The following is a 24,214-nucleotide window of genomic DNA, read 5'->3' as shown; positions in this document are numbered from 1 at the left end:
CCACACTTGGTTGACAAATGCAAATACTTCGAGAGGCTATCCCAGCAGACCCCACTGTGGTTTGAGGGTTTTCTCGTCATCTTGCATTAGAGAAAATGATGCTGAATCACATACACTTAACAAATCAAAAAGCAACAAACATATGTAAGTAATGAAAATGTCCCGTAGTAAGTAATCATCATGATGCCACCAAAGGAAAACAAGCCTTTTTTTCTTCTCCTTAACACATTTTGCCATGTTCCATAGAGAAAGAAACTTTTATCAAATACTGTGGAACTGAAATCTTGCCCATTCAATTTCATCTTTATACCGATTTTTAATACTAACCATTGTAAACACTATTTTCTGCATGAAAATGAATTTCCATTAGACTAGCGGTCCCCAGCGTTTTTTGGCACCAGGGATGGGATTTGTGGAATACAATTTTCCCATGGACAAGGGGTGCAGGGTGGGGGATGGTCTGGAGATGAAACTGTTCTACCTTCGCATGTGGAGTTCACAATAGGGTTCACGCTTGTAATGCCTCCACTGATAAGACAGGAAGCGGAGCTCAGATGGTAATGCGGGTTCACCCACTGCTCACCTCCTGCTGTGCAGCCTGGTTCCTAACAGGCTATGGTGGGCTAGTGTTAGTCCATGGCCCGGGGTTAGAGACTCCTGCATTAGACACAAGTAACATTGGTTTTGTAATTGATATAGATGAAGTGAATAGCCCTTCCAGAATTTGGGAGAAAAAAATTAAGGAAATTATATGTTCATCAAAATGGAAAACCCACAGAGAAAATATGATGATCTCATTAAATAGCACAAACTCTGCAACAGATGGACAGGTAAAGTTGTTTCTTTCATGTCACAAACCTGGTCATGCCTACTAAGCTGTAGAACTATAAACAATAAAAATAAAAAATTTATAACCAGAAGGAGAAATTAAAGCAAGGAAATTGAGTCATCAGTAGAGAAAACACTTTAATTCATTTCTGAAAGTAAAAGAAGCATGAAAGCTAATGGATGGCTGAAACTATACAAAACAGTTTAAGTTCAAGATGTGCTGTGAGGGATTATAATGAAGTTATGTCAAGAACAAATGAGGATGAAAAAAAGATGTTAAATGAAGATCTGTATATGGTACAATTCACCAATCAGTACCCCCAGTTGGCAGCAATGAAAAATTCAGAGTGTTTCTCCTCTGGTAAAATCCCCAGGGGATTCTTTTCTGAAGAGTTTGAGTAGACCTACTTGGTTAAATCAAGGTTTCTGCTGTGAATGCGTCTGCCAAGAATAAAGCACTTTGTTTGGAATTCTGGGGGACCTGAGACCTAATAGCTCTCCTCTGCTCATTCAATTTAAAGTTAAGCCACCCAGTCAATAAACTATGTCCAGCCACACACTGAGCTCCAAGTCTACCATTCATGGGACACACCTAACATTTACCTATTAGCAGAGAAAATGCACACTAGTTAACTAATACTTCTCGATTGACTATAAACAGACAACCAAGATTTTTCAGACAAAAAAGAACAGCATAAAGGAGAAAGATCTATATAAATTAAACGGGAAAATGATCATAGAATAAACAGGCAATTAAAAATAGAAAAAAAAGAATTCACGAATTCACATTTATGTAGTTTCAAGAAAGCATTATATTTACAAAATAAGAATAGAATGCTCTACAAAGAAACTATACAGGTTTCTGAGAAAGTTTGTAGAAAGTGAAACTAAGATCTCTGAAATTAAAATTTTTAATTAATGGACAAGAAAATAAAGCCAAGGAAATATCCAAGATTATAGAGAAAAATACAATGACACCAAATATGAAAGAAAGAAACAAAACATGAAGGAATAAGCTAAGATTTCTAGCATCTTACTATTAGAAATAGAGAAGGCAAGAAATTCTCAAAGAAATAATAGAAATGTAAAGCCATTGGGGTTTTAAGCAGGAAAAAAAACAGTCTGTGACTTATATTTTAATAGAATATTTTTTGCTTCAAAAACAGACTATAGAGAAATTGGGGTGGAAAAAAGAAAAAAAACATGACTTAGACAACTGAAAGCATTCAGGTAAGAGATAACGCTACCTTGGACTAAGATATGAGAGATGGAGATAGTGAGAATTGGTGAGATTCTAAACAAAACTTGAAGGTAAAATCAACAGAACTGTGTTAGATTGTGTGAGGGGGAAAAGAAGAGTCAAAAAAGCCTCATTTTTTTTTTGACCCAAGCAACTGGATGAATAGAATTCTGGTTTACTGAGATGGTAGTACTGCATGAGGAGGAGGTTTTAGCAGTGGGATTTGGGATAAAATATATAACTTGGACTTGGACAAATTAGAGTTGAAGTTCATATGAGACATCCAACTAGACATGTTAGATAGGCAGTAAGATATTAGAATCTAGAATTCAAAGGAAGTGATTCTGGAAATAGTGTATAAATGACATTTAAAGCTAAACTAACTGAATTAGTTCACCAAAAACTGAATATAGAAAGAGAGAGTACAGAAGGTACATAGACTGAACCCTGGATATCTACCATGTTCAGATGTGAAGATAAAGAGGAACAAGCCCAGAAGGAGCATCTAATGAGGTAAAAGGATCATGAAAGGAGAGTGGTATTCCAGAGGTCAAGCATGTCTCAAGGAGGAAATCGTCAGCTGTGTCAAAACCTGCTTCCCAGTAAGTGAAATAAGAAAATAAAAGTGCCCACTGGATTTTGCTATATGGAGCCCTTTCACAACATGACAAAAGCTGTGCCTGTGAAGTGGTTGGAGGTGAAACCAGAACGAAGTATCTTAAAGAGAGAATGGGTGTAAAAGTGGAGAGAGATTAAATACAATCTTTTGAGGTCATTTTTTATAAAAGTTAGCAGAAAACTTGGGAGGTATCTGGATGTATATCGAGGCCAAATGACTTTCTTCTATAATGTGTGATATTAAAGCATAGATGTATAACATTGGGAATGTTCCTGCAGATGGATATAATCTGATACGGGATAGACAAAGCAAATGTAGAAACAATGTCCCTAAGATATGATGGGGAACACAATGCATGAAAGAGGGGCTAGCCTTAGAGGGAGCAAAGGCAATGTATAGTTTCTACCTGGAGGGAAGGTAGAATGTTTAGGGACTGATGTGTGCAGGTTGCTAGATTTGTTGCAGAAGCACACTGAAATTGCCTTTTGATTGTTTCCATTATTTCAATGAAATAAGAAAAAAGGTCATATTTTGAAAGATGGCAGAAGAAAGACGTGGGAAATTAGAGAGGTTTTTTTTTTTTTTTAAGGTGTGAAATAATCTTCTAGGAGAGGAGTACAGAACCTAAGGATAAAGAGGAGTGTTACAGGGCAGCACTAAGAGCCCACCTGAGATTAGTGGTCATGAACTTAATGAGAGACACAAGAACCTGGTTGTATGGTTTTCTTCAGCTCAAGTCAGCTGCTTGGGCAGCTGAATAGTGAGTTAGGAGTTGAATTTAATAAGCTTGGGATTTTTCTAAGCCAAGATAATGGATGAGCAAATAGCTGAGGTGGTATGCAGGAAAGTCAGTATAATGATGGACCACAGCATCTAAGCTGGGTGAGGATAAGGATATGATGGACAGTGGAAAAATAGGAACTAGAAAGAAAGGCATTTTGGAATTAAAGTACTAGAGAGAGTGAGAATGAAGTAGGCATGCAAAAGTCTGAGATTGGAGTGCTTAAAGTTGAGATTATGAAAAGGTGCAATAATTCATAACACCAAGATCTAAGCATAGCTACAGCGACTAAGGTACACTGGAAGACAAGTTAATCAGATGAGGAGGTCAAGGACCTGAGCAGTCAGGATGCTAGAAAGGTTTGTCTGCATAGATATCGAAATCACAATGATTTATGACAGGAGTTGTGTTGGAGCAGGATAAATGGTAAAGTAACGGATAGGATCTACTTATGATTGTAAGTTGACGAGATGAGGAAGTAGTGTCTCAGAAATCTGGTGATTATTATGGCAAGAATGAATAGAAGGTAGAATAATCGAGCAGCATATGTTTCTGAGAAGGAATGTTTGAAAGGGAAGGATGGTTGTCACAATGGTCTGCAGGCAGCAATGAGATCTAGGAAGACTCTTACCTTTACCTCCAGGCATGGTGATATGAAGGTTGTAGAAGGAAAAAAATCATCGTTAATGGGGACAACACATAGAGGTGTGCTCAGGGAGCAGTGCTTGGGGAGAGCCAGGGTCCACATAAACCAACAGGCGGCAGAGAAAGTTTCGTGAAGAAACTGAAGATACAGAGCAGGGGTCGCCAAGCTGTGGTCAGACAGCCAAACTCCTGTTTTTATGTCCAGGTGCTAAGAATAGGTTTTATATTTTTAAATAGTTACATTTTTAATGGTTATAGAAATACCTCCATGATGTCCTTGATTTTGTCTCTCAGCTCCCAAAGCCTAAAATATTTTCTATCTGGCCCTTTAAAAATAATGTTTTCTACCTCTGACATCGAAGATTTTGCTAATGACTGAAAGTGTTGGGGTGAGTCAAATTATGGAATACACAGAACCATATAGGCATGGAAGTCTAAGGCATAAAAGATGACTTGGGAGTTTTGGGGTATCTTATGTTGACTGAGGTAAACACGGACACAGACCATGACCAAATTACTCCTAAGGGTCTTTTCATCAAACTGCAGTGAAAGACTATGAATCAGATGGTGGGAGGAAGACAAGGACCTTTCCAGGAGAAGATACAATTCCTTATATACATGGTCCAGCCACTACAGTCTAGGCTGTAGGAGAGAAGTTTAAGAACACATAGAGCTCTGGTTGTGCTATCTAATGGCTCCCTCGAGTCTATGTTTATATTAGCCCATATTTGCATAGCATTTATTTATCCTTACCACTCTATGATGAAGATAACATAACTTCTATTTTATATATTAGAAAACCAAGCCTTGGAAAAAATAAGTAATTTAATCAGAGTCACACGGATAATACAATCTAAAGCCTGGTCTGGAACCTAGGTCTTCTCAAAACTAAGCAAAGTACTTTTTTCTCACAGTTACCTGCATGTTGCCTCAAGACTATTCAGAAGCAGTACATGATAGCAATTGGGAAGTACTTCTTACAAACCAGAAAACATAAAAAGAGGATATTCTCCACAAAGAGCTCGATTATTAAGTAAAAATACTGGTTTATCAGGCAATTCTACCATCTGATGGGCAAGAATGTTTTCTTCAAACATAACGGAAACATGAGTACATCAAAAGAAAAAATACATATGCCATATAAATGAGAAAAGGTGACCCAGCTTGAACACGGACTTCAGATAGCGACGTTAGTGGAAAAGGGAAGAACAGTGATGAATCCAACAAATGCATTCTACCGCTACCTATTATTTAATACAGGACAAAGACACTTCATTACTTCCAACTGGGACCTCAATAAAATGGCCACATGATATGTACTTCTCATTAAAAATCTCAAACAACTAGTTCCAACTGTATGTACTTCCAAGTCCCTGGCTTTTCCTGAATAAGAGTACCAGGAGTAAGGATCATGAACATAGCTATTCTCTTCTATAAATAAATAACTTGGCATCCTCAATCATACTTCAGTTGGTATAATTATAATTCTTTTCAATCTATCAGCCAATAGAAAATTAAACCTAATTTTCTCACATCAAGGGTGAGGGTCAGCCTCAGAAATGTAGTAAATATCCTGAGGTTACCAGCAAAGCTTCCCATTCGAAACCTCCCCTACTTTAGTTTTAAAGTAATTCTTTTCTTGAAAATGTGTACAATAAGTGCCGTATTAGGCAGTCTTCAGTAGTGCAAGTTAAAAGTGTGATGCTTTATAATTTCAACAATATATTTATAGTTTTTAAATGCACACTGTGCCTTCAGATGTCTCATTAAAGAAAGCAAGTATCGCTTGTTTTACTATCAGAAACAGATGAATTGATTGATAATTACCATAGACTTGTCAATATGGAAATATTTATCTTAATTGCACTTTCTTTGACATGTTTGTATCACTCACAGTTACTACAATGGAGTATATGTTAAGTTATTCGTTCACTGGTTAACCTTGACACATTTTAAAATTCTTTATTTCAGAGGTTTACAGTTTAAATGGTGGATCAAACAACAAAAAAAAATGAGATATTAAAGTTATTCTCAAGGGACATATAATTTAGGTAAATAAGATTTAAAAACACTATATAAAAAATGCAAAGGCCATACAAATATTGACTGACCTCCAGGATAAACAATCATGTCAATGACAATGTATACTTGTCAGCTTAGGCTAAACAATGCCATGATAACAAGCAATCTCAAAAATCTCAGCGACTTACAAAATAAAGGTGGATTTTTCACTCACATTGCATGTCCACCTGGGATCCAACATGATATCTGTTCCAGGTTATTTTTACTCCCTACCTAAAACTTTGCTGGTTTTATAGCAAATGGAAAACATAACACGGTGGAGCCACAAGAGAGCTCTTAAAGCTATTGTTCAGAAATAGCACATGTTCTTTTCACTCCTTTTCCTTGGACAAGGGAAATTGGGACTGGGAAGAATAGTCTTCTCATAGGAAGAGGCAGCACAGTGATTCTTCATAAATGTCTACTATTTTTAATAGTTTTTAAAAGCTAATGTGCATTTACCAGAGACAGACACTTAGCTAAAATTATTTCAGAAATTGTTTAGGATCCCCTAAAGACCCAAATAGGAATGACACTGCAGGCATAAGGAAGGGCACTTTCTTGATGAATGGATCCATGGTTGAATTATATAATAATATACAGGTGACATATGATTGCTCTTAATTTTTCTCTATTTACTTCTTGTGCTATTTGCCTCTCACTTGGAATCAGATCCTATGCTGACAATGCGTGATCCAGCTCCTGGCCCATTCCTGGCTTCATGCAGCATTCCCACTCATCTCTGGCAATCACACACTTCCAGTCATCAGCTCGCTCTCTCTCTGTCCAAGCCCTAATCCACACTGCTCTGCTCTGCTACGGAGTCCGAGGACTTCAGCCTCTGTGTCCTCCAAACACCTGTACCACATCTGCCCACATTCACTCAGTCCAAATCCCAGACCTGGCTCTTCTCATCAAATTTGGCAGATCAATGCCACTATTGTCTACTGCTGGTTAATAGTACCCATAAAATAGAAACTGAAGAAACAAATGACGAAGTAAATGCATCTTTGCTAAATAAAATCTGGAAGCATAGGTAGGGTCTACAAAAGGTAAAAATTAACTTGCTTCATAGCAAAATGTTTAGAAACGACTGTTCTTTGAGCTTTTTACAAAAAGGAGACGTCTATGGACTAGACTGGTCAGGAAAGGATGCAAAATAATAGTGAGGCTTGGGCTAGGTAGAGTTTGAAAGAAAGAGAAAGAAATTAAGCTTATCATACTTATTTAGCAACTTTTAAAATATGTGAAAAAATATACACAATTACCACTTAAAGGTCACACATACGTTAAATTTCACTGATTTTGTCTGTAACATTTATACATACAAACCATCAACTTGTAATAAGTTAAAATTAATAACAGCATCGGTATAACTATGAAACACATTCAAAGTCAAGGTGAGAATTACACAAATTTAATTTACACATAAACTGCATGTTGTTAATAAGGGGAGACAGTAAACAAATACTGATTTGGTCACATTTTCATAGTCAACTCTTTACAAAATATTACTGTTTCTTTGATTATTGCACTGCCAAATTGTTTTGTTTCACTTTTAGGATGAAAAGGCAGAAGTGTGGGTTTTGGATAAGGGATCCTATCTATTTAGGCTTTGGGTGCTGCCCAACACAGAAGGAGGCTTAGAGATAAGAGAGATAAATCTCTCCCATTTCTCCCCTTCTCTCTTGGACACAAGTGGCTGAATCTAAACCTGATGGCACTTTATAGAAGCTATGTTTGAAAGCAGCATCTGATGCAACTGATCTTTCTTTTTTGCAAAAATAGGAAACTTTGTTTACAATCTTTCAGTTTAGAGGCAATAAGTAATTTTTCCTGCCTAACATATGAGAGCTATTTTACATAATCTTTTCCAACTTTTCTTAGAGCACCCTCCGGGGATCAGAAATTCAGGTTAGCTGATGAGATTTTGTCTTTCATTATTTTCTTTTCAAATAGGCTGGCCTTGACAGCTCTACCACTGGCTGGTTCCAGCAGGCCCTGGGTTGTGTGTGTTGGGGCTCCTCCCCAGAGAGATGAAGAGATGGACCGACAGTAACAGAAGGCCCTCGAAGCTGATGTGTGATGAAGGTACTTAGCTTTTAGTAGACTTGCCTCAGTTTTCCATGTGGGAATCTGTCCAGGAAAAAAGTTCAAGCACTGAACTCACATTCTCTATTCTTGTTTTAAGGTCTAAGAGGGGATGGAAGGGGATTAATTTTTTGTAGGGATTAAAGATGACTCTAACAATATGTTTCCTTACAAGGTTAATAAAGAGGAAAAGGCAAGTGATCAAGATGTAACCATAATTATTACTAGATTTACTTCAGACTGCTACTTAAAGCTACAAGACACTATCATTATAGGCAATCCTTTTTAATGTCAACATCAATTTAAAATTACCCAGGATTTTTCAATAAGTGGTCTAAGCTTATTCAAGTTTAAAATGACATCATAATAGTGGTGACATATTTTTACCATTCAATCTTGGTAAAAATAGTAAGATTATAATAAAATGCCTTCTAGTAGCCAGCTATTGTTTTGCATAGCTGGTAAAGGCCAAAAACCACATAGGAGACCAATAATTACAAATGTAAAATCAATTTCAGATTAAAGGTAAAGATTAAGTCATGAAGGAAGTCTGCGATGTAGTGCTGGGTGCTGATTGCAATAATTCTAAAGATTAGCAGAATATTCATTATTGCCCACCAGTAGTAAAGACACATTAATTTACTCAATACTGTATGTTTTGACTTAGGACTGATTTTCTTGGAGATCACTTACTTGTTAAGTGGTATAACCACACACACAAAAATAGGTCAATAACGCAATTTTCTATAGTTCACTCAGTTTACTAACCTACACATTTATTCAAAAGAAGTTGACCTAAAGGCTCAAAATAATGGAGAGATGAACATCTCAAAGTGCTTGCCTTCTCATATCTTTGTGTCCTTATTTTCCATTGCTTTAATCACAATCCTTTGTTGAGAATAAATCATATCAATAGAATATGTTTAATATCTACATTAATATGTCAAAACTATGAAAAACAAAAAAAGACAATACGTTTATATCAATAGCTGTGTTTCAAGGGGTGACACTTAGGTTTTTTATTATTAATTTTCTTATTTTTAATTTTTATGGGTACATAGTAGGTTTATATATTTATAGGGTACATGAGATGTTTTTATACAGGCATACAGTGCTTAATAACCACATCACAGAGGATTGGGTGCCCATCTCCTCAAGCATTTATCCTTTTGTTACAAACAATCCAGTTATACTCTTTTAGTTATTTTGAAATGTACAATTAAGTTATCATTGACTATAGTCACCCTGTTGTGCTATCAAATAGTAGGTCTTATTCATTCTGTAACTATTTTTTATGTATGCAGACACTTAGGTTTTGACGGCAAAAGCTTGGATTTGGGAGGTAAGGTTTCCTGCCTTGGATCTATGGCTCTATAATGTATTCCCATAGCTTCATGGTAAAGAGTACAGATTGTGAGGCCTGAAATCCTAATTTTGAATCCTAATTCTACCATTTACTAGATTTGTGACTTGGGAAAGCAACTTAATCTTTCCAGGCCTCAACTTAATTATCTATAAAAACAAGAATAATTATAGTAATTATAGAACCTACCTCACAGGGTTGCTGTGGGTTTAAACTTTTTAGTATGTATTGATCACTTAGCAGTAGAATGTCCTCAGTAAGTTCTATGCAACTGTTTGCTTTATCATGATAAGTATTCTTATTATTATCTGCTGAATGATTTTATCACAGTTATTTAACCTCACCAAACCTATTGGTTAATAGTCTCTATCTCACAGAATTGTGATGAGGATTGAAAGACATACATCATGTCAAGCACTTGGCAAATTTATGGCACATAAGAAGTGCTCAGGATTTGTTGGTGATTTGCAGTCACTGATTTGGGGGATTTCTCAGTTCTCTAGTAGTAGGGCTGCAGTGAATTCTCTAGTAACAGGATTCTCATTGATTTTTTAATTGTCTCTAACTCTCTCTGTCCCATTACACATGAGAAGGATGATAAGCTAGAAAGGACCAAACTACTCTGCAAAATATGAGATGTGTATGAAAGAACCTCTTCTGTCATGGCAGCCCCCAAAAATGTGGATGTGCTTATTTGCATCTTATTTTGCCAATTTCCAACAGTCTGGCCTGCTACCTTGTAAAAACAGAGTGTTTGCAATTATGATGGGAAAATGTTATATTAGCAATATTCAAATTCATGATGACACTTGGAGGTAAATATCAGCCCTGTCAAGAATTGGCTCTTCCTTACTAACTCCTTATCCTTCACAAATCTCTTCTGTGAGCTTTCTTGTCAACATTGTTGTAATGGGGCATGACCTAAAACATAACATTGCCATATAGAGAAATAGCCCTCCAGGATTCTATCCTGAAGAGGATTCTATCTCCAGTATCATGTCCTTTGCTGTAGAGAAAAACAGTTGTATGGCCCATTTTTAAACCAAAGTCCTGTTAGCCAGGACCCAGATGCATACAGAGAACATCTTTATTGTTTGGTTTTAATTATCTCTTCCAATTCAGACAGAGTCTGAGATGGAGCATGAGGAGAAAGTTAAGTGTGCTTTCCACTCTTCAAATTCTCCAGCTCTCTTCCCCAGTTCATCTGATACAGGTCTCTAAAATTGGGGAGCTGACACTCTCATCTCTTTGTCTTCTCCCCAGGATTCCAAGAGTCTCCACATTAGGTTACATCATCAATGGGTGCTTCGGTAATCCGATTCTTGGTGTAGGCTGTGCCCAGGAAAATCACCAGGAAGAAGTGGGGAAAAAAACAAAAAATCACCCTGCCACATTTTTTAAAAAGATAAACTCAATTCACCTTGATGCACAATGGCTTAAAAGATAAAATATTCTTTTGTGGTGTAAACAGATGATTTCTATAAAATCAGAAACTCTTTCCTCATCAAGAGAGAAATAGGGTCTTGATTTTTTTTCAGGTAAAAATTCCACTATATGTTCTATTCCTTGCTGCTAGTTTTATTTAGATGATCAAATCTTTCCTAAAGTGTCATATTCTCTCATTTTATGTGGTTAGAAGCAGGATGTATAATTTAATTGGGTATTGAGAAAGCTGGTTTGATATCTTGAACTAAAGGTGTTTTTTTCCCAATGTATCCATGGCATGTTTTCAAAATAAACCTGTTTCACAATGATATCATGTGCAAAATGACTAGAAGTTTTAGCACATGTACTGTACCAAAACATCCCTGAAAGGCTTTGAACACAAGTAATAAGGGAAAATAGTGGTGCAACAGAACTGAGAAATCAGTAATAGGATCTTGTGTTCAGAGGAAAACATTAATTTTGATTTTAGAAAGGCTGAATTTGAGATAATAACATAGTTTCTAAAGAAAGGTAGCTAGAGGTACAACTGTTGTGTATGAAAAACGTCGAAGTTATAATGAACATTTTGGAGACATCAAATAGTAGCAATTTTTCAAATTTTAAAAAGAGTATTTTATGATAAACTACCAAGTTGCATATCAGATACATCATTCTAAGTAATGCTTGACATTCTGAGGTAAGCATTAGAAACATTTCTGTATTTGATTATATCTTGGTACACCACACCTACAAAGAGGTAGCACAGAATAACTGTTCATGTATATCTGAGCCTGAGACCAGCTATTGGCTTGTCAGTCTCTGGAATTATGTGCATCTATTACTAAACCATTTGCCAATTGTTGGGTTAATCATCAGTCATATATCATCAGCCTGGGAATTCCATTATGTTGACATGAATTTGAATTTATCTTTGTCTTTCTGTGTGTCATTTTTTCTTTAGTGTGGCTATATAATGCAGATGACACAAAGAACCAGATGTCATTTTACACCCAAGAGATGATTATACCTCACAGTTGGCTAAATTGATTTCTATATTTAGTTTACACAAAACCCCGGGATGCTTCTGGACCCAAGACGTTGGTAAATGCAAGACTGGTTACTGAGAATTGTGCAAGGAGAAACAAAAATGTAACTTGACTTCAAAGTCAGTAGCCAGACCAAATACAGAATAAAAACTTAGTTCTTGATTTTATCTTCATCCTTTTTTTTTACATCAAGGAAGGCAAAAATTTATATTTTTATATTATGTATTTATAAAATACATGTCTGAGTTTTCATATTTTAAGGGACATTTTAAGATAAAATTCCCATCTATAAAAAAGTCCTCTTTCCCATGTGATTTTTAAAAATACAGTGGAACTTCAAGTTAATATTCTCACTTAAAAGACCTAGGCAAGGCCAGGTGGTGTGGCTCATGCCTGTAGACCTAGCACTTTGGGAGGCCAAAGCAGGAAGATCACTTGAGGCCAGGAGTTCAAGACCAGCCTGGGCAACATAGCATCTCTGCAAAAAAATTTTTTAAATTAACTGGGCATGGTGGCATGTGTCTGCAGTTCTAGCTACTTGGGACACTGAGGCAGGAAGCTTGCCTCAGCCCAGAAGTTAGAGATTATAGTGAACTACCAAAGCAAGGCTTTGTCTCTAAAAAAAAAAAAAAAGGCAAAAATGAAAATAACTCAAATTATGTAATGACAAATTACATAATTTTGACTTTTTTAAAAGAAATCCCAAGCCCAATGTTTCAACTTATTTTTTGGTAAAATCTCCAATTTTACATATGTGTAACATATTTATATCATATATGTTACACAACCTACACACACACACACACATATAAAACATAACATGGTCTAACTTGCCAAAACTAACCCTTATTATGAAAATTAAGCTTTGTATTAATTGCCATTCATTATTTTAAATTAATGGTTCCAAATTCTAATGTGTCAAAGAAAAACTTGGAGCTATTTCTAAACCCATAGAGACTCTTACATAATGAGTCTGGGCAAAGGCCTAGGAATCTAACTTTTTCATAAATATATCAAGTGATTCTAAGTCTTGAAATCTTCAGACAACTCTTTGAGAGTTGTATAATAGCTCCAGAGATTTTTTTTTTTTTCTTGAGATGGAGTCTCACTCTGTTGCCCAGGCTGGAGTGCAGTGGCACGATCTCAGCACACTGAAACCTCCAGCACCTGGGTTCAAGCGATTCTCCTGCCTCAGCCTCCTGAGTAGCTGAGAATACAGGCACGTGCCACCTCACCCAGCTAAGTTTTGTATTTTTAGTAGAGACGGGGTTTCACCATGTTGGCCAAGATGGTCTCAATCTCTTGACCTCATGATCTGCCCGCCTCGGCCTCCCAAAGTGCTGGGATTACAGGCATGAGCTACCGCGCCCGGCCCAGCTCTAGAGATCTTTTAAAAACTAGAGGAAATGTTATAGCATTATGGCAATAACCATATCATAGTGGTTACTTTAGGCTGTTCCTTGCAAGGAGTCACAGCATGTCTTCATAAATACAAATAATTTTTTGTAGCCTTATACAGATTCTTATACCAAATGATATATAAGATATATATCTAACTAGGGCCCAGGTGCGGTGGCTCATGCTTGTAGTTCCAGCCCTTTAGGAGGCCAAGGTATGCAATCACTTGAGCCCAGGGGTTCGAGACCAGCCTGGGCAACATGGCCAAACCATGTATCTACTAAAAATACAAAAATAAGCTGGGTGTGGTGGCGTGTGCCTGTAATCCCAGCCACTCGGAAGGCTAAGGCACAAGAATCACTTGAACCTGGGAGGTGGAAGTTGCAGTGAGCTGAGATAGCACCACTGCTCTCCAGCCTGGGTGACAGACTGAGACTCTGTCTCAAAAAACCAACTAACCAACCAACCAACCAACCAAACAAACAAAAACCAAGATATTTATCTAATTGGAAGAGTTTGAACTTTGGGAGTCCTGGCACTCTTACATAAGTTTTATATCAAATATAATCACCAAGAAATAATCTTTTTGAGGTACAACTCTAAGACCCTACAAATGCATATTGAGATTTAGAATACTCTGTTATGAACAACGAAAATACTATATAATATGAAGCAAACAAAACAGAATCTTCACTGCAGCCTATCAAAAGGTACTAAGCATTTAAGAGCCTAAATCGTTTGGGAAAAGCTGTGCTGCAAGAAGAGGGGATCTTGAGTAGGAGGGGACAGACCCAAAGAGTGGGGTTTTAAGGACTTTCTTCTTTCTTCCTACTTTCCTTCTTACAACTCTCATCTCTGTAAAAATGTAATTATTTATGGAAAACCCTAGAATTTACAGATTCAAGAGGTGTCCTGGGACTTCTTTGGTACTGAAAACTGATCTATAAAAGATAAGCCATCATCTTGAATGAATATTTAGAACTCAAGGTAAGAACGCTTGCATACAAACAACATTTTTTATGTCAAGATAGCTTTATTTTGGATGGCAATTGTTCTGGACACTTTCTCCAAGCAAGCATGACAAATGTCTTAAATAGCTCACATGTAATTTCACTGTGAAAAAAATTAATCTTATAAAATTATTGTTTCAATTAATGCAAGAAAATACTGCATGAAACTAAATTACCAAGAAAATCAATTACCAATAAACCGACAGCATATTTGTATTATAATTTGTCCTTTAAATAATCAAATGTTCCTTCATAAGCTTTAGCTTATTTCCCCAAAAGGGTTGACACGGCATTTTGTCTCATATTTGAAAGCTATCTTTTGCTGTTAATTTGCATTAAACAAACAACAAAAAGACAAGAAAATCAAAGGAAGTACCCCTATATGGTTCTTCCACACATATTCAGCTATGTGAGCAAGCAGTTAAAACATGCAAATCCAGTTTGGAGGAAATTCGACATCTCTATTATAGATGAAAGGTAAACAAAGCAGATGAAGGATTAGTGCAATTCCAAATTTAAGATATTGCTCTCAGTGACTTATAATAAAGTGGTGTTGCATACGGTGGCATGTTTTAGATGACATTTCAATTGTACGAGCAATTTGCATTCTATCTGACATTAAATAACGTTCTTAGTATTATGAATTCCAGCAGCATCCTCATCTCCACAGCATAAAGATATGAACTATGAGGCACATCTTAATGAAGGGAGTAAGTTTTCCTGTCAATCTGAAATGCGAGACAAGGCAGTACCTCGGCTAAAACGCCAGCAACATTATTGTGAGTTGCCCACTCCTGGCATAGTACAAATCTTCAGCTAAGGCATTCTTCTTATTAAATAAAGATCTATAACTGAACACATGTATCTGTAATATCACTACAATCCAAAGAAAATTAAAAGACAGATTATGTCCAGGATATTACATGCACCACCACAGAGCACTGCTAGAATCTGGTATGGTCTTGTTGCTAAGATACCTGGCTAATGCCACGGAAACGAGCCCCTCTTACTAATCTAGTACAATCCATGCATGCTTCCACATATTTTGGCAGGAGAAAGTAGGAGTCCACTGACAATGGTTTGGGATATTACTAGCCAGTGTTCCTGAATTTATACATTTTTTATCTCTTTCTGGTAAGCTTCAACAATCTTAGTGAAATAAGAAATGTAACACTCTGCTAATGGCATTTGGTTGCTTTATGCCATTTAAAACAAGTAAGATTACTTTTTATCCTGCTGCATAGTCAATAAAAGTTGCTTAAAAAGGTAATTATTTAAGTGCGTTTAGTTGCAAAATTGTGATCCTCCCCAAAATGATTCCCCTTAATCTTTACAATTTATATTGTTATATGCACATAAATGACTAACTGCATTTTCTCTCTCTATGGCTTTCTTCAAGGAGAATGCAATATACCAGTTTCCCTGAGTGCAAACTGAATAAGAAATCAGGACACTAAAATGAAATACTTTTATCAGAAATTACTCACAAACCTATGATGCACAAAGCTGGGTTTCAGTGTTCATGTTCCAAAGATTTTTGTTTTATTCATTTAAGAAAAAGTAGACAGAGATAGAGAAGATTAAAAGCTGTTTCCTGCATAACAGTAACATATAAAATTCCAGAATGAAAAATAGAGACTTTGAGACTTCCCCTGTACAGAATGCAAATTCACTTCCCACCTTCAGGTAACATTTTCAAAAAAAAATTTGAAACAGTCTGCCTTTGTTAAAGCAAACTAAGCAAAGATTCCTACTGAAAAATCAAATAAATTTTTAATGTAAGTGTGTTCATACTCTGCAGTGCAATATGATCTTTAGAGCATCAGTGACAGTAGTTCCATTGAGCTCAAGTTATGATAACAATAACTTTTGCAGATGTTCATAGCTGTCAAATATTATTCACTAAAATGTCAGAAAACGTGATAAAAAGTTAAACCAGAAAAATTATTCTAAAGTAATTGGTTCAAGTCAAGAAGGCAAGGAGAGGTCAAACATTAATCCCTATCCATAAACAGTGAATGAACTATAGCGGAATCACAGCCATATTGATTTTTTTTTGGAGGAAACAATTGTATACTGTATAGGTGAACACAGAGAGTAAAGTGGATGTTTATACATGCACTAGTGGGAAAATTTATAGGTGCATATCTCAAAGATATTTATTGATTTAAACAACAGTTTTTCTTCAGGTTTACTAGATTTTTCACTCAGAATTGCTTTCTTATCAACAGAGACTTAGCCAGTCTCTGATAGTAATAAATTATAACCTGAGTACGCTAAGATTATGTTATTCACACTCTTTTCTGTTTTCCAGTCCATGGATTCCCAAGGTCATATTGGAGGGTTTATTTGACCAAAAGCCATGGGGACTTCATGGATTTAGAATTCCATTTGCGATGTTATGACAATAGCTCATCATGATATTGTGTCTTTTATTAGTGCTAAAAACAAATATTGCAAATATCAATGTACTAAAAACACCTAGATAACACCTAGAAAAGGTTTACACATGTTTATTCTTTTATTCATATACTTCCAATATTTTGAGCCCCTCAGGACATTGTTGCAATGAAAATTATTTCTAAATTACTGCCTAGGAACAGTATACAAGAGTAACTGTATTATAAAACAGGAGATTGTTCATGACAAAGAAGAAATAAATCAATAACAAGTGCAAGTACCTCACAAACTGTTACTTCAACATAAATTGTCCCTGTAAGAAGGACAGAAAAATGTTTTTACCAACCTTTTACTTTTTTCAATTCTCACTGGAATCCCATGTCAGAAGAGAAAATGGCTGTTTGCTTAGAATAAAGTGTCTTAGCTATCTGCGTGGACCTGACAGTAATGGCAAAGGATGGTGCCGATCAATATCCATCTTCTTCATTCCTGAAGTAATAACTTTCAATAGGAAAATCTATTTACTTTTACTTACCTTTATTTTATTTCATTTTGCTTTAAAGAAGTTCATTCCAGAGGGAGGGTTTACCCTGCAAACAGCAGTTAACAAACTGATGATTTAACTAAGGACTCTGGGCCAGTTGGCGTGTTACCATTTGCTGTACCTGTGTGTTAATGCTAAGAAAAAACATATTTCTCTAGATTCTACATTTATTATTCAAATAACAGTCACTAGAAGCCTTGCAAGGCCCATAGCTACTTTATATGGAAGGTATATCAGCAAGGTCAGTCAGAAATAAGGGTCAACATTCACATTCTTACATGTAGGGCTTCTTGAATTTTTTACATTCTGTTTGCTGAAGACACCATATGATATTGTACTGTATGATAAGTAAAACATCACTGGATGAGGATTTAAAAAGGAAACTCCAAACTCTTTCTTGGGAAGACCTGTAATAAAAACTATAGCTAGGACGGGCCCATGTATCCTCTGTCCAGGTATAAAATACAGAAGGAACTTTCACCCCAAGTTGTCACAACAGTTAGTATTTTAAATTGCACTTCAAAATGAAGCACTCTACATATGATTATAAGCACTAAAATAAAGGATTTTTCAATGTTCGAAACATTTTTACTTCTCTTTACCTCTTCTGTCTCCCTTCCAGCACTGTGACTGTTTTATAATCATAATAGATTTTATTCCTATTGAGCTAGAATTGGTTTAAAAGTTACAGTTTTTTTCTTTTCTGTTTCCTAAACAGACTTGTTTTACAAATTATCTTTTTCAAGGGGATGACAATTGACATGTCAAATGTTAGATGTCTAATAACATTCAATGACAATTCTTGTCAGTGAATCTATTGAGTGATTTTTATCTTATTAATTTTTATTTGTGAAACTGTAATTAAAAGTCACTATTTTAATATACACAAAAATTCATGTAACTGTCTTTATAGAACTCTGGAAGTAACATCATGAAAAACAAATATTTTTATAAATATTTAGATTTTAATTTTCCACATAAATTTTTTTTAATTCTTCACATACATATATATACACACAGTGATTTCAGACTATGAATATTAGAGAACCTGTTTACCCTAGAAATGTTGCTCAAAAACGCTAATATTAATATCAGTAATTTAAAGTTTAAAATAACAGGAATGAATTAAATAGCAATCTGAGACTACTAATTCTCAATGTGAATTTTTAAGCTAATAATTGGTAATTTATTTTAAATCAAAAGGAATAATAAAAACCCATTTCTGAATTCTGGGTTCATACACTAATCTCAGAACACTCACTATGTGTATTTGTTACTAAGAAAGGAGATCACTGGTATTAAACCCCTGCTTAAATTAACTGCAAGATGGGAAATAAATTAAAGTCAGTACTCTCCTTAGAATTTGTAAGAAAACATATATTAACATAGATGTAATATAGCAAGAGAATTAATTGCAAATAAAGTAAAATATACACAATGACGAAGATAAATTACATTTCACTTCTACTATCTAAGCATTCATTAGTAAGAGGATATCAGCAAAGAAAAATGCATGTACGCTTTATTCATTTGATATTTGCACCAGACATAAAGGATCACATTTTACATGAAGGTGATCAGCCTTTCACTTTGGCGAACTTCTCTGCATGCATTTTCATGTGTGAACATGTGTACTAGGAAAATAATACATGAGAAAGCTTTTTATACAGTTAAAACACAAAAGACAGTTACTCTAGCTAAATGGGGCCCCCAATAAATCTGAAAAAACAGCCATTGACAATCTTATTTAAAAAAAATAGTTTCACTTGTTAAAAGGCACCAAGGGATTAGAAAAAAATATCCAAGGTCTTAAATATTTTAGAAAGCTTTTGGTTGTTGTTGTTCAGTGACAGTAATTTTTATTCATTGGTTTGTACCTGCAACATATTTTGTGGTAGAAATTCATCCACTATCTTATGTTCTATATATTGTCATTAAACTATATATAATATACTTTTCAAAAATTATTACTTTTAGGAAAATGACAATATATAATAAGTATTGCTCTTTATGCATCTACATTATAAAGGAATCTTTTTATAGGATTAATTCTCCTATAAGGAAGAATAGATATTATTGAAAATATACACAAATATTAGGGAAGACAAAATTTAAGGCATAATAAGTTGAAATCTCAAATTTAGAGATAATAAACACCACTATTTGTCCCTCAGAGAGTACCCATTTTAATACTCTAATTAAAATTGAGTAACTGCAAACTTACATTGTCAATAACTATTCAATACATGTTAATTGAATATGTAAAAAAGAGAAGTTAGCTTACACTTAATAACATTTTCGGCTTTGAAGCTTTACTACAGGCATAAATAGTAAAGCTGCACCTGGCCTTACCTAGGTCTTTTAAGTGCGAATATTAACTTGAAGTCCCACTGTATTTTTAAAAATTATATGGGAAGGAAGACTTTTTTTATAGATGGGCATTTTATCTTAAAACGTCCCTTAAAATATGAATGTCCCTTCAAAAGAAGACAAACTTATTCCTATCACCTGTTCATCAGGTTTTACAAAATCAGAACTCAAAATCTTGAATACTTTAATAATTACATGATTAAAAAAAAAACTTGGTACCAATATGTTAGATGCATTGCATTTGTGAGTTAATTTTCATATCTTCCTGTGAAGAACTGCAGACTACCAGATATTCATAGTGCACTAGACTGAGGCATATAGGAAAAAGCAAGATAAAGAAACTCGCACAGGCCACTCCTTCTACACACATTCTACAAATGGAAATTTAGAATTATATTTTATTTGGTGAATTACATTTTAAAATGTTCTCAGCAGGAATTTGTTATTATGTAGAAAACTTCAGATTATCATTTTTTTCTAAATGACATCAAATAAAACACTCATCTATTAAAATCATCATTAAGTGGAATAGTGATTGCCAGGGTTTGGGAGTAGGGGAAATGGGGAGATGTTGTTCAGGGAGTATTGATAAGATTTTAAAAATATAGCCATTAAAAATAAATATTTAGGGCACCTAGAAAGCTATACCCATCATAAAGTCATAGAGCCCATGGAAGAAGCTCAATAAATATTTTCCTGATATATTTATTATAGATATGTGGGTGCATTTATCTATGTTTATATCTGTGTGTATATATATATATATATGTATATATATATATATATATACATATATATAACAATTATACAACTAGCTAGATACATGTGCAGTTCCAGACAAGTGCTTATACTCTGTTACTCCTCTGTGTCACTCTACTGATTTCCTCCTCAAATCTTTATTTTCTAAGGTTTTAAAGAAGTGAACATTTGCATGGTTTATGATCATATTTTAGATCCCAACAAAGGACATGGCCATAATAAGGCATCTAGGCCATAATCTTAGGATCAAAATTACACACAGTTGTAATAACTGGAACACAAGGCAATTTGCCTTGCTCAGATTTCTCCATAGTTGCATTATTTGTTTTTATGTTTAACTAGACAGATATATCTCATCTCTATTTTAGAAGATTCCCAGGCTTTATACCTTAATTCCCTCAAATCTGGACCCCAAAAAACAAAATTAGTTTACAAACACACTTAAATTGTTCAATAATTGATTACAGCTTTGGCACCGCAAGAATAATACAGTCACAACAATAGAGTTGCTAATCTGTATGAAGTAATTGCACAAATGCCTTTTTATATGACACAGCACTAGTGGAGGCCTACATATCATAGTCACTGGTGTTCATCTACATCAAAACTTTCTATCACTCTGTATTTATTTGATTTTGACATATTTATAAAAAGTCCATGTATGTGTGTGCAGTGAATTTCTAAATTATTAAACTCACTTGTATCAATGACTTTTTTAACAAACAAAAATAATTCTGCCTACTTCAATGTTACAGTAAGAGATAATTTCAGAAATGTAAAACAGCCAGCAAATGATGGAGTGAATAGTACAAGAGTAGCTACATTAGTCTTCCCTTCTTACATGCAGGAGCTCTGAAAATGCTGTTGGACACAGAGCTTTATTCGAAGAGGTTTCACACATGCATTTTTAATCAGGATTATATTTCACAGAGATCTGTCACCGCTCACAAGTGCAGCTGCCCAGTCCTCCTTGAAATGTATCAGCTCTCAGTCTCAGCCCTGAACTAGTTTTTCTTTGTACAAATCTGGACGTGGTGATCCACAGGGCGGTGTTTTTCTTAAAAGGAAATAATAATCCCCTAGAATTGCATAGGACTCCTATGCACATTGTTTTTAGTTCAAACATACAACTACTTTAACCTGAAACTGTCTTCAGAGCCACTATCTCCACAAAGTTAACAGTCTAAACTTTTGCCTTTCAGGTATTTGCTAAACGTAGATCTAGTAAGTGGTTATTTTAAATTCAGTCATTTACATGAATGTTTGTGTTGAATTAATCCTATGCTACTCTTCTTGATCTATTATATTATTAACCTATTCTCTCTCCTATAATAACTAAGACCACATAATAAACAAAATACAGTGAAAAAATGTTTACATGGATATGTTTCTCGAATGTGCTTCATATGTTGGACATATAATGTGGTGATACTATAAAAGTATGCTTTTACTATGTATAAACTATGTATAAAACTATGTATAAACTATGTATAAAATATCCTACAGAAATTTATAAATGCAGAAGAATGACTCGTGTGTATGTATAGCTATATTCCCAATACTGCCTAAATTGGCAAAATTTATTTAAGTATCAACAGAGGAGATTAAAGGTTGTAATTACTATAAAAGTATATGTTGTTTTGAAATTATATTCTTTCACTAAAAATATATTTTAGAATAATTATATTTTGAACTTTTCAGGTTGTAGCAACAAAATTTACTCTTAGATATTCAAATTAATACAAAAATGGAAGGTTTTTTAAGAGCTTAATTTTATACATAGTATGTTTAATGTCTAATGAATACCGAATGGCTATTAAAGCACACCCAGCACACATTATATATCTAGTAACTAATATTTGTCTCAAAATATGTTTCCAAAAGCATGTGTGGAGAAATATTTTTCAGTTACAAAAGTTTCTAAATCTGTAACAATGCAAAGCACTAGAGCCAGTTTAGAATCTATAAGTCGGGAACTACTGTACAACAGCATATGTCCAGAAAAATACACTAACGCCAACAGCACAGGAACACTCACATGAAGTAACTATATCTATATGTTGTCAAGCAACTGGTCATAAAAGCACTGAATAAAAGGGCATTTGAAATTGGATAGTTCTGAAAATACCACAGCTGATTTTTTATATTCTCTGACAGTTAAGAACAAAAAGACCTTCAGACAAAAATTTTAGATACTCCCTGTGATATTTGACTTCCTCAAAGTTTATGCATAAGATTACCAAAGGTCCGGGAGTCCCAAATAAAAGTCAATATTAAGCCACTTGATTCTTGATTCTCAATTGCTTCATGTTCATAAAATTACTCTCCATCATCATCATAAACACTATACATTTTAACATCTGTAATAGCATTTCTAAACCCAGAGCTTACATCTACAACACTGGGATGAAGGCAGCTTAGGATATTACAGTGTCCTTTTTAGAAATTTTATATTTTTCAGAGTTAACATTCTCTTTAATTTTACCACAATCCAAAGGTTTGGAAATTACATTTCAAAATTCTATTACATGTAATTAGCAGCAATACCAATGACTCAACATTTTCCGGAGCTTAAAAGATAAAATTGTCTTACAGATCTGAATTGTTGTCTAGTTTAAGTACAAGTAAAAAGGCGGGATTAAAGAAATCATACTTTTTTTTATCTATTGCTTTAGCATTTAGTTAACAAGAAATCCTGGCTTTTGAGTTGCTTAGCCAACAACCTTGAATAGCACAATTATATTCCCCAAATGGTTTCATGTTTCCAAAATGAAATTTTACAAGGTATTAGTTTAAAATATTTATTTCTGTTTAGGAAAATCTCTGTCTGTAGCCTCAAAAAAACATTGTATAAACAACTTTCTCTGAGCAAATATTAATATTTAACATAAAATATGGAATAACAGTAGTAAAATAAAATCATTTAAAACATGATATTAAAACACATAATTTCTCACAACCTAATAGAATGTCATTACAGAAGATTGACTGATAATATAAAGCTTTACATTTTTCCCAAAAATGTAGTTAACATCCACTATAAACTAACAATTATATTTACAAAAAAAAAAAAAAAGTGCAAACCTAATCTTCCTGGATCCTGTTGAAATCTAAGAGGTTCTAACTCCTGCATGTTTATAATTGTATTTGTTTTTGAATATATAGGATGATTTTTGAAAAGAATTATAAGCATTTTCAATTTATTGTACATGCATTTTTCTGGTATCACAAAGAAAGCAGTAAACTCAAAGCCAAAACATCTGTATTTCAATATTCCTTTTACAACTTGATGCCCCAAATCCTTGAATCTGCATTTTCTCATCTGAAAAGTGGGAATCATTTCTGTCTTGTTCCACCTGTCTCACAAATTTGTGAGGGTGAGAGATAATTACTCTCAGTGATCAGAACACATTCTGTTTCTGGAGCATATAGGCCTCATATGTAACAAATTTCAATCTCAAAGGAATGAGGTCAGTGTCTTTATCACATCTCCCTATTTTTTTAAATGACAAATGTCACCAGAAAATGTCTTATTTATTTATTCATCTTTCTATCCATCATCTCCCTCCATTAGAATGTAAGACCCTTACTGGAAGCGACTTTGTCTTTTTCATCACTGTATTCCCAGTGCCCA

The 24,214-nt window shown here is 34.6% G+C and overlaps 1 long non-coding RNA gene across 1 annotated transcript; it reads left to right on the top strand.

Annotated features, from left to right (window-relative positions):
• LOC105377364 (uncharacterized) lies at window positions 1–24,214 on the top strand. The gene is made up of 3 exons (XR_001741518.2): window positions 1–144; window positions 8,134–8,265; window positions 24,155–24,214. It is a non-coding gene; the product is annotated as an uncharacterized LOC105377364 (long non-coding RNA).

This window comes from Homo sapiens, chromosome 4 (genome assembly GCF_000001405.40).
Source record: "Homo sapiens chromosome 4, GRCh38.p14 Primary Assembly".
NCBI classification, from domain to species: Eukaryota; Metazoa; Chordata; class Mammalia; order Primates; family Hominidae; genus Homo; species Homo sapiens.
This window is presented reverse-complemented; position numbering and strand designations above follow the sequence as displayed.